This window comes from Homo sapiens, chromosome 3, assembly GCF_000001405.40.
Source record: "Homo sapiens chromosome 3, GRCh38.p14 Primary Assembly".
Taxonomy (NCBI): domain Eukaryota; kingdom Metazoa; phylum Chordata; class Mammalia; order Primates; family Hominidae; genus Homo; species Homo sapiens.
The window spans coordinates 126,487,830-126,506,784 of NC_000003.12; the positions used below are offsets into that span (position 1 = coordinate 126,487,830).

At 54.3% G+C, this 18,955-nt stretch overlaps 1 protein-coding gene across 2 annotated transcripts in view, besides 2 other annotated features; it reads right to left on the bottom strand.

The window, feature by feature from the left end:
• The window catches only part of UROC1 (urocanate hydratase 1), a 36,608-nt gene that overhangs the window by 6,664 nt on the left and 10,989 nt on the right, over nucleotides 1–18,955 (bottom strand). Inside the window, exons 7-19 of one of the 2 annotated variants that reach the window (NM_001165974.2) lie at nucleotides 18,116–18,182; nucleotides 17,872–18,015; nucleotides 16,166–16,254; nucleotides 13,972–14,119; nucleotides 13,389–13,483; nucleotides 12,866–13,045; nucleotides 12,228–12,325; nucleotides 11,508–11,580; nucleotides 10,222–10,343; nucleotides 8,209–8,279; nucleotides 4,589–4,687; nucleotides 1,447–1,546; nucleotides 369–450 (exon numbers count right to left, since the gene is read on the bottom strand). In NM_001165974.2, the coding sequence (NP_001159446.1) occupies nucleotides 369–450; nucleotides 1,447–1,546; nucleotides 4,589–4,687; nucleotides 8,209–8,279; nucleotides 10,222–10,343; nucleotides 11,508–11,580; nucleotides 12,228–12,325; nucleotides 12,866–13,045; nucleotides 13,389–13,483; nucleotides 13,972–14,119; nucleotides 16,166–16,254; nucleotides 17,872–18,015; nucleotides 18,116–18,182 (1,368 nt within the window). The remainder of the gene's footprint in view (nucleotides 1–368; nucleotides 451–1,446; nucleotides 1,547–4,588; nucleotides 4,688–8,208; nucleotides 8,280–10,221; nucleotides 10,344–11,507; nucleotides 11,581–12,227; nucleotides 12,326–12,865; nucleotides 13,046–13,388; nucleotides 13,484–13,971; nucleotides 14,120–16,165; nucleotides 16,255–17,871; nucleotides 18,016–18,115; nucleotides 18,183–18,955) is intronic. The other variant, NM_144639.3, reaches the window with a different exon arrangement.
• Nucleotides 1,235–2,434: an enhancer, noted in NCBI's record as "BRD4-independent group 4 enhancer chr3:126207907-126209106 (GRCh37/hg19 assembly coordinates)". NCBI's record gives its function as "activates an origin of replication core promoter dependent on BRD2, P300/CBP, MED14 and CDK7 cofactors, and independent of BRD4, by STARR-seq in HCT116 cells {active_cell/tissue: HCT116}" and the evidence as "EXISTENCE:reporter gene assay evidence [ECO:0000049][PMID:35650434]".
• Nucleotides 9,673–10,550: an enhancer, noted in NCBI's record as "H3K4me1 hESC enhancer chr3:126216345-126217222 (GRCh37/hg19 assembly coordinates)". NCBI's record gives its function as "activates a minimal SCP1, AML or CMV promoter by ChIP-STARR-seq in naive H9 embryonic stem cells {active_cell/tissue: H9 hESC(naive)}" and the evidence as "EXISTENCE:reporter gene assay evidence [ECO:0000049][PMID:30033119]".

The window sequence follows — 18,955 nt, forward strand, 5'->3', positions numbered from 1 at the left end:
AAGACCCTGGCCATGAAAGCGCCGGGAATTCCATGGGAACACATGGAAACTGACATGCTGGAAACTAACTGCACACTGGAAACTGACATGAGGAAGGCGGCTGCCATTCTTGCAGAGCCTAAGAGGCCCCTGAGACCCATGTGGCAGGGGAGACCCAGAGAGGTGGGGTGGCTAATGCAAGTCCTCTCCTGAAGTTCTGTCAACTGTCTCCGCTCACGCAAGGAACACATTTTCCACAAAGGTGAGGGCAGGGGAGGTGACCAGGGAGGTAGGGCCCAGGACTTCAGGAACCTCAGCCTGGCCCTGCCCCAAAGGAACCCCCAAAACTTCCACATCAGCCCACACCCTGTCCTCTGAAACCTTCTTACCAGCCCACGCCCCCTCCGTTGTGAAGGGCGACCCAGGTGGCTCCGCGACAGGCATCTCCCACGAAGTTCTGCACAGCCATGTCTGCGGAAATAGAGACGCCTCTGCTCATCACCCCCTGCACTGGGTGGGCACCTGGCTCAGTCAGGCCAGCCTCGCTGGCTAAGCCAGCACTGCTAGGCCAGAAGGATGGGGCGGCAACTAGGCCCTAGGGACAGGGCCTCTCACAGCAGCAGTCGTGTGTGCTGGCAGAGCTGGAGCTAGAGTGGGAGAAACTGACACACGTCTAGTTGTCCCATGGTGGCGCTCTCCAGCACTGGGCACCAGCTAAAGCACTCCGGAAGCAGAGGGAACAGAAGAATTAAAAGGGATGTGGAAACAGTGTTAGTTCAGAGAAGTAGAGTGCCAAAGAGAGTCACTCATATTCTTAAAAAGGGGGGCAGAGGAGCAAACTGCAAATAATAGGCTTCCCTTGACCCCATTAGGGAACTGAGGTCCCAGGACAACCATCCAACCTGAAACCTGGGGACTGAGAGCATCTGCAGAGAGAAACAGAGCCCAAGCCGGTCACCTTATAAGTGTGCAACACATTGCTAAGGGACAGGCGCAGGCCAGCCTGAGACCGTGAGCCCCTGGGTAGACAGCGGTAAAGGCGTTTGCACCCTCTTGCAGGCTCTTCCCCCAAAAATCCCAATGGGTGCCACAGAGAAGATCAGGGAGAACCCTAAGAATATCCCCCTCCTCTTGGTGCTCAGCTATGAAGATGGGGAAGAGACCAGGAGCCAAAAAAGGCAAGAAATGCAGCTCTAGGATCTGGAAAGGTAAGGAAACAGCTGGCTGCCCACAGCCTGTAGGTCACCCAAGTCCAGGGCACCCAGCTGGCCCGGTGTGCCTGGCACTTACCGGTTTTACAACTGGAAGTCCCACATCCCAGACCCCCTCAGTCCTGGGTTGGTCACTCTATGCCGAGCCTCTCAGGTGCCAGAACATCTTTCGAAACATTGTGACTGACTAAATGCATCAATTTTTAATAAAATCCAAATCTAAGATGAAAGTTTAAGACATTCTCATCTTCCTCACCTGCACAGAAGGCAGAGCCGTCGTAAATGTTGGAGGTCTCCCTAAAGGGGCTGTCGGTGCCGCTCACGTCATGGTGATCTCGGCTCAGGACCACCGGCGCCTGTGCATGGAAGGACAGAAGCTGTCAGCCAACAGTGTCCACCATGGCTTCCTGGTAAAGACTGAGGACAAGGGGCAGGTCACACCAGAACCCGCTGGATTTCTCCTCCTGGAAAATAGACCCTCTTCACAACTATTTCTGATGTCATCTGTAGCCTGGAATAGATTCACGTGTGCCCGGCAGCACTCGTGTGTAATACATGTGTGAGCTCACCGAGCACTCACAGCCACCCTGTTCAGATAGGCACAACCATTATCATGCCCACTTCATAGATGAGAAAGCGGAGGCACAGAGAGGAGAAGAAATTTCCCCTATATCACAGAGCGAGTGAGTCGTGAGCTGGGGTTTAACCCCACACGTGTTATATGCCGGCGCTCCTCGTCTTACGATGGTGCTACATCTTAATAAGCCCACTGTACCCTAAGTAAAAAACGACTTAAGAGTATTTTTAACTTACGATGTATTCATTTGGACGCAACCCCATTGTATGTCGAGGAGAGTACTAAACAAGTGTCACTTCACACCATTGTAAAGCAGAAAAATTGTTAAGTCCGAGTGTCCACTTAGTCTGGGCTCAAGCCTCAGGCAGCCTGGCCCCTGACCTGTGCAATAGAGACGTGGCTGGCTGATGGCCTGGAGGTGTTGGAGGGCCTCACTGGGGGAGTATTTGGCAGTACCTACCATGAGACCTTGGGCAGGTCACTTCCGTCTGGGAATAGCTCTTGGTTTCCTGGATGAGGTAATTGCTAAGAGCCTTTTCGTGCTGCCAGTCTCTCTGAGGACAAAGACTTTTCGCACAGAGAAAGCATTCATGCTGAGTTTGATTTTTTAATACACTCATCGGCAGCACTCCTTGTTCCCCAGGAATCTCCGGCTGCTCAGATACCCAGGAGAGGCAGCCAGCTGCTGCTTTGCCCCCACGAGATGGATGTGGTACAGCCCTGGAAGTCAGGTAGGGCCATGGCTAAGGGCAGGTCAGCTGACTCCCTTATGCTGTGCATGGGCAGGCCTGCTATGAAAAGGAGTCCTGGCCGGGCACAGTGGCTCATTCTTGTAATCGTAACACTTCGGGAGGCCAAGGCAGGGGATCACTTGAGGTCAGGAGTTCGAGACCAGCCTGGCCAACATGGCAAAACCCGTCTCCACTAAAAATACCTAAATTAGCCAGGTGTTGTGGTGCACGCCTGTAATCACAGCTCGTCGGGGAGCTGAGGCATGAGAATCGCTTTAATCTGGGGGGTGGAGGTTGCAGTGAGCTGAGACCACGCCTGGGCTATGGAGTGAGTCTTTCTCCAAAAAAAAAAAAAGAGGAAAGAAAATGAGTTCTAACTGGCAATTTAAAAAACAGAGTGAAGGAACTGGGAGGAACCCTGACTAAAGAGAAGGAGTAGGGGGAGCCGTCGGACACTGCACAGGGAGCATGTCAGCCTGGCTCTGCACCTTTCAGTCAGGAGAGGGAGCACGCAGGTCAGTATGCAGTTTGCAGTGCACCTGGGGAGCAGCCCAGCTGTTTCAGCTAAGAAGTCCTATTCCTATCACCAGGTCCTGGAAACTTTTCAGGTAGCGCTGGTTGATGGGCGTGATCTTCCCAACCTCTCCAGGGGATCTCAAAATTTCACAGGCCCCTGTGCCAGAAGATGCATCCTGACAAAAGCCTGGGATGCCCTGTGCTCTTGAATGAAGAGGTCTGCCTTTCCCACCTTCAACAGGCCAGGCCTGTTCCCACGTCTTCACCTGTGCAATGAAACCACCTTCCCCCAGATATTCTGGCACTTTCTGGCCATTCAGGTCTCAGCTCAACGTTAGCAACTCAGAGAGGCTGTCCTGACCACCGCTCTTCGCCATGTTCATTTCCTGCACGCCGCTCCTCATCCTCTGAAACCCTGTCGCAATGTGTGCCTTCAGCTTTACGTCAGTCACCCTTCACCACACTACACGGGTCTGTCTTGTTCTCTGCTGTGTCCCTGGTGGTTAGGACACGCTGCACAGTGGCCATGCTCAGCCAAGCACTGTCCAGTGAATGGACACATGCTTACTGACCCCTTTCTGCTGGCCAGCTGACCGCAGCCCGGGGCGAGTGCGCCTGGAGCTTCCTAGCAGTCCCCGGGAACACCTGGGCTTCCAGGAAGCACTGGGTGGGTGCATTTGGCTGTGCCCTAGCAGGGCTGGCTACTGCCTTTGCTGCCGGTGCCAGCCCCAGAATCATGCCAGGGCAGTCTTCATACCTCTGTCCCAATGTCTATCTTACACCTGACCAGTAACATTCCTGGCACTTCTGAAAAGAGAGACGCCCGCAAGAACTCTGTGGCAGGAGGAGCCAGAGCCCCTCGGAGCAAGCATGCCCAGGGTTCCGTCCTCGAGACGGGCTTGGCGATTGGCAAAATGAGCAAAAGCTAGGGAAGTTTGCCATTGCTTGAGAAAAGGGAACTCCATAAAGATGTTTAAAGTTACTTTGTGGAAGCTGACTCACTCAATCCTCACACACATGCTTTTTAGTCTCTTTTCACAGAAGAGGGAAACCAAGGCTCGGAGAGGGCTACGGACCTGCCCAAGGTCACACAGCAGGGAACAATGATGGGGCCTGACACACACAGAGCAGGGTCCCCAGACACCTCACCCAATCCCAGATTATCCCCAGAGGGGCCTTGGAGCCCCTGAGCCACCTATGCTTCAGGGAGGTTACCTATTTCAAGCACTGCTCCTGCTCCCCCAGGCCCTCCTTCCCACCACCCCCTCACAGCCGCCTTACCCTTGCCTCCCCAGCAGAGCCCTACTACTCAGCTGGTCCCAGGGACCAAAACCTTCAGCAAAACCTGATCTCCCTAAAGAGGGGGAAGTTTGGGCCTCAGCCATGGAAGAGCTAAGCTCCCGGGAGGGGCTGGTCCACTGCTCCTGAGCACTGGGCTGCTGAGGCCCAACGGGGGTGTCTCCCCACCCAGAAGGCTGTGGGGTGCAGCCGAGGCACACGCAGGAAGGCCCAAGGCAGGAAAGGCAGTGGGAAGAGGCTGAGGGATGCTTCCCCCAGAGCACAGGACACCTCACCTTGATCCTCCTGCAGGCGATGGCCTGGTTAATGGCCACAGCGATGGCCACGCGGCCCTTCTGGTCTGAGTACAGGATCCTTGCCTGGGAGCCCACCACCTGAGGAGAGAAGGGCAACTGGCATCTCAGCCAACATAGGCAGCAATAACAGGACCTGGGGTGCAGGGAGACACGGGTGGCACTTCCACTGTGGGACATGGCCCTTGGCAGCCTGAGCGCCTAACAAGGTCCAGGAGGACCCCCAGGGTGCATGGTAGCTCTCAAATCTGTGGCCTGAGGTGAGCCCCCACATTCAGCCCACTAGACAGCCATACCGGCCCCACATGTCCACTGTAGTCTGGGCCTCCAGACACCTCCCCCAATCCCAGATTATCCCCAGAGGGGCCTTGGAGCCCCTGAGCCATCTGTGCTCCAGGGAGGTTACCTATTGCGAGCACTGCTCCTGCTCCATCCCACAGTGATGACATCAACGCCATCCAGGGCAAGTTTGCGTTGGGCCTGCCCCACTCTCAGTGTGCCATACAGCCTCTTGTCTGTGAGTCTTATGGGAAGATACTGTCATCCTCATCATAAGCTCCATTTTCCAGATGAGGAAATGGCCCCAAGAGGTGGAGCCACCTGTCTACAGGTTGACCTTGGGCCCTCTGTCTGTCTGCTGCACCCACGAGCTCAGCCACCCAGTGATCGCATCTCCTGACAGTAATGGGTGGTTGTCCCCGGGAGACAGCTTCAGCGCATGAAATGAGTCACTGTGTAGCCCCGCGGTCCTCAAGCAGGATGACATTTGGCAATGACTGAAGACATTTTTGGGTGCTGCTGGCATGGGTCGGGATGCTGCTAAATACTCTACAACGGCCCCCGTGATGAAGAAGCCCCCAATGACTCCAAGAGATATGTGCACACACACGTTCACAGCAGCATGACAACAGCTGAGAGGTGGAGGCGACCTGGGTATCCAGCGTGGTGCACGGATGAACCAAACGTGGTCTGTCCATACAGTGGATTGTGATTCAGCCTTAAAAGGAAGGAAATTCCAACCCATGCTACAACATGGATGGATGAACCCTGAAGACATTATGATAGGAGAAATAAGTCAGACACAAAAGGACAAACACTGTCTGATCTCGCTTATATGAGGTTGTTGAGTGCCAGGGGCCGTGGGAGTAGAATGGGGAGTTAGTGTTTAATGGGGACAGAGTTTTGGTTTGGGAAGGTGAAAAAGCTCTGAGATGGATGGTGGTGATGGCTGCACAGCAGTATGAATGTGCTTGAAGCCACTGCACTGCACACTCAAAAATGGCAAAGATGGTTAAGATGGTAAATTTTACGTTTATGTATAATTTACCATAATTAAAGAAAATTTGTACAGCCCCAAATGTCAGTACGCTGAGGCTGAGAAACCCTGGTTTCTCCAAAGAAGATGCAGGTGTCTGCCCCAGTTGCTGGTGAGCTCGACCAGGAGCCGGTAAAAGGCAGCAGGGCCGGGCCACGGAAGCAGCTGTGCACCTGACCGCAAGCTCAGCTTTGGCCGGGACAATGAGTCTAGCTGCTTCTTCCTCCCTCATGGGTTCCTAGAGAACAGGCTTATTTTACTCACACCAGCTGCCTCAAATCCTTTTCAGAAAAACTACTCGTGTGAATCAGCACTGCAGAGATTTTCAGATTTTTTGGATCCAGAAAAAAATTGGTGAGGAACTGACATAGGATTGCCCACTTTGTCAAGAGGGTACATTAAAAGAAAATAAATCAAAAAATTTTAAAAGGCAACCTTCTGCAGTCACCGTTCAGAAGAGAAAGCAACAGTAAGTATCAGGAGGCACACGATCTCCAGGGGACTTTAAGTCAAAGCAGACGCACCCTGCTTGCAGCTCCAGCTGCAGCATCCACCCCTTACACCCTCAACTCTGGCACCTCCCACGGCCCCTTCTCAGCCATGCTGGCATCCATCCTCTCAGGCTATCCCCCCTCTCTTCTCCACCCCATCTCTGCACTGACCCTGCAGCTCCAGCCTCCGAGTCTTGGCCTTGGCATCTCTGACTCAGCACCGTCACAGAGATGCTGTTGGCACGGGGACTCTGAGGCTGGATACAAATGCAAACCATTGCGTATGGATGAGACAGCCCAGGACAGGGGCAGGCCTCTCCTGGCCCTGGGACTCCTGGGCCAAGACCCACTAGTTCAGACACGGTCCATGGCCAAAGGTGTATGAACCAAATGCCCACTTTTTCTTCTGTTTTGTCCTCATTACACCCAGTCTACTGCCACCGTGGGGCCTGTGTACAGGCTGGGGCTTGTGCAAGGGCTGGTCCCTCTGCCTCGATTGTCACATGGTTGCAACCCTCTCAGCATGTAGACCTGGATGCACATGCTGGACCCCTTCCCTGGCCATTCTGTGTGAGGCAGCCCCACCCACCCCTCCCTGCTGGTGCTTTCCTGCACACACACCCAGCAGAAACTGGGCAAGACTCATCTGTTAGCTCAGCCTCACAACACACCCCCTGTACAAGCAGGGCCACAGGGGCCTGCTCCAAACACTGCCACCACCGTCTCCGCTTTGCAGATGAGGGCGTGGCGCTCAGAGAGGCTGAACCACTCACCCCAGGTCACACAGCTGAGGATACGGGAGGCTTCTCAGGCCCAGGCAGCCTGGCTCTAGAGCCCAAACTCTTTCCTCTGCAGGGCTGCCTCTATTTGTTGAGTAACAGGATGAAGAACGACCTGCCCAACTCTAGTCGCTGCCCCAGAGCCCCAGGCCACTTTCCCCCTCTACGTTTTAAATTATAAAATATACATACATAAAATGTACCATCTTAACCATTTCTAAGTACACAGTTTAGTGGTATTAAGTCGATTCATAATGTAAAACCATTGCCCCATCCATCTCCCCATTCCACATCCCCCAGCCCCTGGCACCCACCATTCTGCTTTCTGTCTCTATGAATTTGACTGCTCTAGGGACCTCATAGACATGGAACCATGCAGTATTTGTCCTTTTGTGACTGGGTTATTTCACTTAGCATGGTGTCCTCCAGGTTCATCCATGTTGTCACGTGTGTCAGCACTCCCTTCCGTTTGAGGCCGAGTCATATTCCATCTCATGGTTAACCCACACTTTGTTTATCCATTCGTCCATCAGGGAACACCTGGGTGGCTTCCGCAGCTTAGCCATTGTGAATAGTGCTGCTGTGAACATGGGCGTGCAAGTATCTCTCTGAGTCCTTGCTTCCAATTTTTTGGGCTACACATCCAGAAGTGGAATTGCTGGGTCATAGGGTAATTCTATTTTTGATTTTTTGCAGAAGCTTCCTCCTGATTTCCATGTGGCTGCACCATTTCACCAACAATGCACAAGGGTTCCAAATTCTCCGTGTCCTCTCCCAGGCCACCCTTTAAAGGTCCCCGGCTTCTTTCTCCAGCAGCCCCTTGGGCTGCTTCCCCTCCCAGTGTGGCCACCATGGGGCTGGCACAAACAGTCACACAGGATCTTGTGTGTGCACCCTCTCAGGGCTTGGCAAGCTGGAGGCTGTGGACCAGGCTGAGCGCCCGTCAGCAGCACCTCACCTTTGGGCAGTCTTCTGACAGCACAGCCACCCCAGCCTCCCCCAGGCCTGGGCCCTCACCAGCCGGTGCCTGGCGGCCTCCCGGATCCAGCGGATGTTGTCCATGTACTGCAGCTTCACAGACACCTTCACTGCAGGAGAGAGGACAGCAGGCGTCAGAGACCCTCCAGGGGCACAGACCTGCCCTCAGGCAGGCTGCTCAGCTCAGCACAGACCCTGCCCCGAGCCCACCACTGAGCTAGGACACAAGGTGAGGGAGCCCACCCCACCCCACCCCTGCCTTTGTGAACTTGGGGACCAGCAGTGCCAGTGGCCCCATGAATTAATAATGCACAGCCGTGCAGCGCACTGCCTGATGCACTCGGTCCCTCCACAAATAGCTATTCAGTGCCTACTATACACCAACACTGAGCAAGGCACCAGGAACAAAGACCGCTGTGGGCCGTGAGGAACACAGGACTGTGTTGAGGGCTCCCCAGGATGGTGGATGCGGGGGCTTTCTGAGGAAGTGGCCATCAAGCTGAGTCTAAAGGCTGGGAAGGAACCGGACAAGGAAGCTCTGAGGGAACAGCCTTCCAGGCAGAGGGAACAGTCAGTGCAAAGGCCCTGAGGTGAAAATAAACTTGGCCTATGCAGGAGCTACCTGGCCAAGCTCACGGAGTATGTGTGCATGTGAGAGGGCACAGGAGCCAGCCTGACCAGCTCGTGAAAGCAGACTGGTAATTTTCCAGAAATTGTGGGAGCCAGTGGTTAACATAAATATCATTAAAATTTTAAATAAGCTTACACTTTTACCAAATTATATTAAAATGAAGGTAATAGAAATCCCTCACTCCTGTGACTTCACAGCCTTCGACTAGAGTATCTGCCTGGTGGAGATGCCGCAGGGCATGTGCTGCGGGCATGTGGAGCTGGGTCAGCACGCCTGGAAACCAGCCAGGCCTGGAGTCTTTACTCCAGGGTCTTCGTGGGTGCAGCAGCTCAGGGCTTCTTTCCGGAGGGCTGGTCGTTCCCCACTGGCTGCCTGCTGTTCTCACACCAGGGAAGCCCAGGAGACATCTGACCAGACCCCCAGGAGAAGGCCCCTGCTTCCCCTGCCCTCCTGCCTGGGCCCCTGCCCGCCTCCTCCTCCACAGGTGACCACGTCTCCCCTCTGCCTGGCTCTCCTACTCTGAGTCTGTGTAACCTGGGCCCCTGCCCAGCCCACCGAACATGGCCAGCAGCAGGGTGTAAGGGCCCTAGAGATGTGAAGCACACAGCAGAGGCTGGTGAACCACACAGAAAAGCCACCCGACCTGCAGGAAAGCTGCAGAGAGACCGGGGTAAGAACTGCAACAACAGAGGAAGTGTCATAAAATAACCATGAAACAACAACGTCAGACCCACTCAACGAGAACAAAGGTTGGTTAAAACCCAGGCAGGCCATGTAGACATGGAAAAACACAACCCTCTGGCAGAACCAACACTCAGCATCAGCAAAACCCAGGATGAACATGGGGGACCCTGATGCAGAGGAGACCCTTGTGGACCTGGCAGGCGTGGAAGGCTGGCGGGAGCATGTGGAGACAGCTTCATCATGGAAGACAGCAAGAAGGAACTAGAAGCACTGCTGTCAGCACTGCCCTGGCCACGTGGAGGGGGAGGCTGGGTCTGAGAGGGACTGTGGTGTGCTGCGGGCTGCCCAGAAAGCCTGGCCCCGGCCACTGCTGCCTGGCCACCCTAGCCCTGGACCGTCCTGCTTCAGCCGCTTTGAGGGGCTTTCTGTCACTCGCAGCCAGAGGTCCTCACTGGCAGAGCCCAGGACAGCTCTGGAGGGCAGAGGCTTGGTGTGGGTGGGGCCTGTGCCTCCACGGCTGAGAACGACACTTGGGGACCAGGATCTTTGCAACTCACTCAAGTTTCTTTAAGTCCCTTTGTGTTGCCAGCTGAGCACCCACCAGACTCACAAAGTCATCTGCGCCCAGGTTCCCTCCCAGAATTAGCTAGGTGGGCCTGCTATAGAAGCTTGTCTCTATGGAGGCAGAAGCTTTGGGGGGGCCACCCACCCATGGGCATCCCCACCAATGGCGTCACCTCCATCAGCAATGGCTTCCTCCAGCACAGATGTGGCCAGTTCGTCTGTGACCGCCAGGTCCTGGGGGTCCCCCGATGTGCACACCCAGCGGAAAGGCCCAAATCCCTGGGAGAATATGTCCCTGCAAGCACAGATGCCTCCTCACCCTGGGCCCGCTGGCTTGTTGGGGGAGGGGGTGCAGGTGTGAGCATGCCAGGGAGGAGGGCTCAGCATCCAGAAGTCAGGTGTGGAACCCCCTAAGCTGTCATTGGACAGAAAGTTCCAGGGGCCTCCCTGTCCCCTCTCTGTGTCCCAGTGCCCCCAGCCCTCCATCCCTGCCTCCTGGCTGTACCATCTCTAGCTACAGGAGTGGGGAGCTGGGACCTGGGCAAACAGAAATGACCCCAATTGCTGTTACAGATGACAAGAAAATCCATCACCTAAAAGTGACAGTCACATTGAGAGGAGAGTCAACCTGGGGCTGTAGCCTTGGGGAACTCGCCCTAGGTGAGCTTATCTTCCCAGGAGCCAGGCTCCAGGACAGGGCTGTCCTGGGGGGAGGATGCCGTGGCCTGGGCCCTCCCTGGGCTCCTGCACTTGCTAGGCCAGGGGGTGCCTCCTCCTGGGCAGCCCTCCCTCTCCGGAGAGTGCCAGCTGACAGTGCTCAGCCCCTCCCACCTCTGCACCCCACAGTGAGCTTGACAGTAAGTGGCATTTGCCTTTCTCACCTCCATCTCTCTCTCGTCCCATGTGGCACCCACTGAGGACTGGCACATCTTCCAAAAGTCATGTGGTCCCTCCTGCCCCCAGCAGAAAGCCCAGACTTCTCAGCTTGGCCCAGGCTCCTCTCTGGCTCCCGCCCTCATCCCCTGCTTGTCCTGGGCTGCTGGCCTTCCCTAGACCTGCACCCCCATGGCCAGAGAGGCCCACGACCCCCAGGGCCACAGCAGGTGCTGGGCTTCATGATCCAGCCATCAGCCACCCACGAGGGCCTGTGAAGACATATTATTCAGGTGCAGTTGTTTGCCAGGAAGTGGCCTCAGCCTCTAGGCCCCGCAGCCCCCTGTTCTCACTGAGGCCCTGCAGGAGGCGTCTCTCGTCTGCATTTCCTCCTCACCTGCCTGTCTGTGGTGGAAAACCCATGGACAGAGCCTGGCCACTTTGGGGCAGTGTGGAGGTCTCAGCGCATGACCTCAGGGGCGGTCAGAGGCTGAAGCTTCTCCAACCTAAATACCCAGGACGCAGACCCTGAACGGGGCAGGGGTGGCACTGGGCACACTAGATGTGGCAGCCGCCCATCACTCACCCCATGATGTGCTGCACATAGGAAGGGTAGCGGAACTCTGTCCTGCCAGCACCTTTCTTCTCCACATCCGCTCCTGTGGGCAGAGCCCGGACAGTCACCACCCAAGGCAGGACACCCATGGCCACCCTAGATGGCAACTTAAACACAGGGCCCAGAGGGAGGCTGGGGAAGGATGCACAAGGTCTTTTTCATGTAAAAGAAGAGAAAAGCAGGGGCAGCCGTGGCCAGCATGCTGCTGTCTGTGTGGCCAGGTGCAGGATGCATGCGCTTGCCATGGACGCTGTGTCAGCCTCCAGCGCGCCAGAGCCCGCCACCTGCAGGGAGGTAGACAGGGCTGGGGGGGCTTCCCACTGCGGACACTGTGCCTTTTGAACCTCATACCCCATGAAAGAATTGCCCATTTTACAGAAGGAAGTTTCCATCACAGAAAAGGAAAGCTGCAATTTTGGGACTGGAGCTTGCACCTGAGTCTTGTACCTGCTCTCCGTATGGGACTTTATGTTCCTAAAGCACATGGAGAAACTGAGGCCCAGAGAGGCTGAGCCACCTGGCTGGGCCTCAGCATCCAGAAGGCCTGGCAGAGGCACAGTGAAGCCTCGGTCAGGATTTGCTGGGCCACCCATGGCACCTCCGAGTGAGGTGGGAGCCAGTGGCACTGGCCTGAGAGGCTGGGCCCAGGGTGGTGGCCCCTCCCTCCTCCTCCCTCCTCCTTCCTCCTACCTGCTCTCTGGGCCTCCAAGAGGAAGGCATTGCCGTAGTCCCAGAAGAAGAACTTCTCCTCGGCCAACCTGTTGATGGCTGAGACTTGCCTCCTCAGGCTGCAACAAGCCATGGGTCAGCACCACCGCTGTGAGGCCCTGGGGCCTCCCCAATGTGGCACCCTCAGTCGCACCCGCCATGCTCCCCACCAACTTCCAGCCCCACTGCCTGGACTGCTCCTGCTCCTCGGGTCGGCACCACACACCTGGAATGCCCCTGCCCCTGTCATCTGTTTAGAACCTCTGCACCTTTCAAGGCCCAGCTGGCAACTCCCTAAACAAGCATTTCCTGGTCCCCAACCCCATCAGGCCCTGGGGAAAAACAGATGCCCCAGAGAGGTCTCACACCCCAGCATCTACTTGGCGCCATGCCGGGACTACACTGGGCATTCAGCAAATGTCACTCAGCTTGTCCCCCTGCACTGCCGAGAGGTAAGTGTGTCATGACTCCGTCTGATGGGTGGAGGCAGAGGCTCAGAGAGGTTAAGGTCTTGCCCAAGGCCAAGCAGCTGGTTGCTGGAGAACTAGGTGGTGGCCAGAGCAGGACAAGGTGGTCTGCCCAGGCCAAATGCTTCTGCCACCCCCAACTCCAAGTAGCACCTTTCCTGGACCAGGTCCTTGAACACAGCAGGGTTGGAGGCCATGAGGCTCTGGGCCTCCGTGAAGCTGAGCTGCACAGGGTAGTAGCCGCCATTGAACGGGTTGTGGCAGGATGTCTGATCTGACCCCAGGTCCACCAAGCACTCCCCCGTCGTGTCCAATTCGTGGACCAGGCGCTCCCTGGGGAAGCCATGCGGTGGTCAGTGCAAGCCACACACAGCCTGGGCCCAGAGTCTGGGGCCAGCCAGGTGGGGACCCTAGCACATTTTCCCACCCACAAATCCAGCAGGCACAGCCCGAGCCAGACCCTGCTTTCCCCCTGGAAAGAGAACCTACGGGAAGGCTGTGGGCAGGGCAGGGACGGCTGCCTCAAGCTTGGGTAAGGGTGTGGGCCAACAAGGGTGGCGCTGAACTGGGGCTCAAAGCTTTGTGTCCTGGCAGCTCCTGGTCAGCATTGAGGTCTTTGCTCAGGGGGCCCCATCTGGGTTCCCAAGCTGGCCATCAACTCCCAACCCCCACTCACCAAAGAGCCACCACGTTGCCATGGTAACCAAGGCTGAGCACCTCCTTTTTTTTCCTTGCTTCCCTGGAAGGACACAAAAGCAGAACAGGTGCCCCCTGCACCTGTGCATAGGTGCCCCAGACACACCTGCACCCCAGCTGCACACAGGGGCAGACCCAGGAGGCCACCAGAGGTGTTGTGTGCAAACGTGGGGGCCATGGGGCTGGGCCATGAAGCATGCCTGCAGGACCCCGACTTTTGTCCAGGACACAAAACTATAAAGGGAAAATCCAGACCCAAATTCCCCAGACCAGAAAACCCACATGGCAGTGGCAAAACTGCCTGGGCGATCCATGGAATTCGGGTTATTGATGTGGGTCCTCCACAGGGATCTTTACAGAACCCACCCAAGGTGGTCCCAGAGTTGCAGGATTCACTAAAGATGATTCCCAAAATTATTCGGAAAAATAGGACAGGAAAAATCAAAGCATATTTTGGGAAACAGAAGATTTGAACAGGCCTTGCAGGTAGTAGAGATATCAAAAAGCAGCAATGCACAGGGAAGGTGGTATGGTCCCCATGAAAGAGCAGATTGAATGCTTACCAGGAGTGGCCTGGAGAAGCCCGAGGGAGCCAGGCACCTCCCCTCCCCCAGGGGTGCAAGGTTGACAAAGCAGGAAAGGACACACAGTCCCAGGGCAGCAGGGAGGCCGGCCCAGCCCAGGGCTTGTTGCAATCCCAGCTGAAGGACCCTGTGGGAACCGTGAGCAGAGCTCACTCCATTCCCATGGGTCTTCCTCAGCTCGGGGGTTGCGGAAGTGTGGCAGACAGGTTGCTCGAGACAGTTCCTTAAACTGATTTTGATGTATGTGTATGTGTGTGTGTTCATGTGTGGATGTGCATGCATTTGTACATATATATGTATATATGCGTGTATATGCATATGTGTATGTATGCATGTGAGAATATATGTTATGGGCATGTGCGTGTGTGTGTTGCGTGTGTTTGTGTGTGTGTCTGTGTGTGTTTATGGTGTGTGCATGTGTCTGTGTGTTTATGTGTGTGTGCGCCTGTGTGTTTATGTGTTTGTGTGTGCTGTGTGTCTCTGTGCATGTTTATGCATGTGTGCATGTGTGTTGTGTGCGTTTGTGTGTTTGTGTTACATGCATGTTTGTGTACATGTGTTTACATGTGTTTATGTGTTGTGTGTGCATGTATGTGTGTTATGTGTTTGTGTTTATTATGTATATGTGCATTGTGTGTTGTGTGTGCATGTGTGTGCATACGTATTGTGTTTATGCATGTTAGTGTGTATGCATGTGTGTGTTATGTCTGTATTTATGTTTGTGCATGAGTTATGTGTTTATGCATGTTTGTGTTTGTGTGTGCATGTGTGTATGTCTGTGTCTGTATTTATGTGTATGTGTGTGTTTATGTGTGTGCATGTGTGCACTCTGTGTGTGCCTGTGTGTGCATGCATGTGTTGTGTGTCTGTTTATGTGTGTGTCTATGTATGTGTTGTGTGTTATGTGTCTGTTTATGTGCATGCATGTGTATGTTGTGTGTGTTTGTGTGTGCAAGTATGTGTGCATGTGTGTGCTGTGTTCTCTGTGTATGTGTGCTTATGTGTGTTAAGTGTGTTCATGTGTGTTACATGTGTGTTGTGTGTTTGTGTGTGCAAGCTTGTGTGCATGTGTGTGCTGCATTCTCTGTGTATGTATGTGCATGTGTGTGTTGTGTGTTTATGTGTGTGTTATATGTGTGTTTATGTATGTGGGTGTGTCTGTGTGGTTATATGTGTGTGCATGCATGTTGTGTGTGTTTATGTGTGTGCGTTTATGTGTGTGTGTGTGTACATGCACACACTCAGGATGCTAAACAGCCTGAATAGGGATGGGAGTTAGGTCGGGGAAGCCCCTCACAGCACACCTGGAGTGTGGAATTTCTTCTATCATTGATGAAAAATTATCTGAGAGTTCTAAAGAGGGTGCAATGTGGTTGGATTGGTATGTTAGAATGATAGGTCAAAATAGTTCACTGCATCGTTTCTCAAATTTTGTTTACATTTTCATCAGAAACAGCTTTTAAGCCCCTGTGGAGATTCTAGTTGAAGCCAGGTGGGCAACCACTGCACCGATGTGTCTTCCCGTAACAGGACTCTGCTCTGGGCAGTAAATTAATTGAGAGGATGCTTCAAAAGTGGCATCCGAGCAGGAGCCCCCAAGGCAGTCTTCCCACCATCCCACTGAAATACCTCTGAAGACTTTGCCTAGGGTTGAGGCGGAGAAACCCACCGACTGCCCCTCAGCACCGTGGGCGAAGCTCTGCCCTGGAGCACAGGGAGGGAGTGCACGCCTCACAGGCTCGCCACTGCAACAGCGCAGGGCAGCCCCTATCAGGCCGGGTGGCTCTGCGAGCCCACACAGCAGGGAAAAGAAGATTCATGCTTCGCAGAACCAGGTAAGAGCATGGGAGCCCCAAGAAGGCTACCTGAAGCCCATCAAGGCCAAGTGTCTGACACCAAGCCCACAGCCCAGTGGCTGCAGCCGGCAATGACGGAATGTTGGAGGCCCTTCCAGAGGCTTCTGCCCTATCACCACCCGCGGGTCAGCCCTTGTGTGCGTGTGTGTGTGTGTGCGCATGTATATGTACATGTGCATGTATGTGTGGTGCCCACATGTAGCCAGCTGTCAGGCATTAAACAGGCCCACACCAAGCTGCCCCATGGGGGTCCTCTTGTGGTCTCCTGCTGCCACGTGTCAGGTGTCAGGTGTCCGGAGTTGAGCTTGGAGCTGTACCTGAGCCTCTGGATGCAGCGGTCCAAGCTGTCAGTCACTTCCATCAGCCAGCCCTGCCTGTGGCGTTTCTCAAGGGCTGCTTTATCCACCTGGGGCCATGAGACATGGGGCCACGAGACATGGGGCCACCCGGTTACAAATCTTCCCTAAGTGTATCATCCTCAACTAGGAAGGTGTCATCCCCTGTAGGTCCCTTGCTTTTCTATAACACAGTCTCAGGGAAGACACCATGAGCTGCCCTCCCTCTATTTATTCCTTCTCCCACCTCCCTTATAAGCAGAACCCAGGTAGTGTTCAGGGTGACACGGTTCAGCCCCAGGAGATGGTCTACGTCCAAGCTAATCACAAGGACTTGTCCACGATCTCCATCCTCCCTTGCAGATAAGAACATCGATTTCAACTAAGACTGACCAATGAGATAAAAGGAGAGGGTTTGGAGACATGACTTTCCTGAAAAAATAGAGTCATAGCAGACACTTCCCTTCTCACCTCTTCCTGCCTTGAACATGGATAGGATGGCTAGGGTAGGGGCAGCCATTGTTTCTACAAGGGAAGCCCAAAGGAATCAAGAGATATTAACATCATTGAGCTGCCAAACCAATGCCAACACTGTTGGTTACGTGAGAAAAATAAAACCCTATTTACACAAGCCGCTGTAGGTAGGTTTCTTGTTACCTGCAGCTTGGTGCACTCCTAACAAGCACAGGTACGTATGATGTAGGTTTGGCATCAACTGAGTGCAAATCCCACTGGCACATATCGCCAAGCCTTGCCTCAAGGCTCCTTGCCTCCTCCACTTCCGACTTCCCTTCCTCTCCTTAGCACCCACCAAAGAAAGATGCGAGAGCCTACTATAGTTGGGATATATTTGTCCCCCAAACCTCATGTTGAAATTTGATCCCTGGTGTTGGAAGTGGGGCCTGATGGGGGGTGTTTGGGTCATGGGGCAGCTTCCTCATGAATGGCTTGATGCAGTCCTTGCAGTAATGACTGAGTTCTTGCTCTGTTTGTTCCTACAAGAGCTGGTTGTTTAAAAGGTCCAGCACCTCCCTCTCCTCTCCCTGCTCTCCCTCTCTCACCGTGTGACCCACCAGACCCCCTTCACCTTCCACCATGAGTGGAAGCTTTCTGAGACCTCAACAGAAGCAGATGTGGGCACTATGCTTCATGTACAGCCTGCAGAACTGTCAAACAAACCTCGTTTCTTTATAAATTAGCCTCAGGTGTTCCTTTATAGAAACTCAAATAACTAAGATGATGCGGCCACTGAGGGAAAGCTGCCTGCACTCACCTCTATGGAGGGTGACCTCTCTGCCTCCCCACCTGTTCAAGGTGGGGAGTCTATGAGTTCATTTATTCACACACATTCATTCCCTCCCATCTGTATTCCAGGGATGTGGTGGGATACAGGAAAGCTATACCCATAAATAGACGGTCAGAGTTTTGTGGTCAGAGTTTTGTGGGAGGGCAGTCGATAGGCATTGCCCATGCAGGGTGATGGGCACTTTGAAAGCAGGAAGCTTATGCCGCCCATGGGAACCCACCCAGTGAGGTCCAGTGGGGCTTCGTGGAGGAGGCAAGGGTGGCCTGGGCAAGGAAGGATGAGAAGGGGGGTCTGTGGTGTAAGTGATCCGGGAGGAAGAAGGGAGGGAGGGAGGGAGGGAGGGAGGCAGGCAGGAGCGAAGGCCAGGAGCCCCCCAGCTTACCTCTGCTATCACACCGATGCACCCCACGATGACTGCGGCCTTGGCCTGAGCCCCACTCATTCCGCCGAGCCCAGAGGTGACAAAGACCTTCCCAGCCAAGTCCTCGATGCCCAGGTACCGACGTGCAGCATTCAACACGGTGAGCTGCAGGGAGAAGAGGTGGGGGCTCACTGCCCACTCCCAGCCCGCCCCCTCCACCCCCCATGCTGGGAAGCCCACAGCCAGGCGTGGCCCCATCTCTCACCACAGTGCCATGAACGATTCCCTGGGGACCGATGTAGCAGTAGCTACCTGCTGTCATCTGGCCGTACCTGACCACAGGGAGAGAAGCCAAGCCCAGGGCTCAGCCAGTGCCAGGCCCAGGTCCTCCCAGCCACTCCTTTTAGGAGGTTGAAAATTAGTATTTAACTACCCAATAGGCATTAATATATTCTCCTTCACATAAAATAGAGAGAGCACAGAGAACACAAGAAGGCTATGGACACCCTTGTCCCCTCTCGCCTTCCAGACATTTTACAAGCAGATTTTGTTCTGTTAAAAACTGTAGTGTAATTGGTGAAGAATTGTTTTGGGGAATATTTGGCTGTATAGACTCCAGCTGAATGTGTGCAGCATGCCCACACTACATGCTTACGCCAGGCAGAGACACACACAAGGATGTTCACCGCAACTTTAGGCACAAGGGCCAAGACCTGAAGCTGCTGAGATGCCCCTCCACCGGAGACGAGAGAAGTGAGTGGCGGAAACACCACATGGCAGAGAGGGACAGGGCCCTGCACTGTGCCCATGGAAGCAAGACAGATTGGGAGGCAAAAGGGTTAAATAAATTAGTGCAATTGAACATTGCAGGTAAAGGAAGAATACATGAGATCTGCTTCCTGAAATGCAGCAATCTCCTAGCTCTCTTGTGAAGGTGGGAAAGGCAAGGCACAGAGGCCGGCTCGAATGGTCTAACCACCTAAATTGCCAAGCCCACATGCATAGAAAGTGTTTGGAAGAACACAGGAGACACTGTCAACTGGAGAATCTAGGACGTAAGAGGGATCTCCTTTTCAGTGTAGCTCCATTTATAATGCTTAATGAA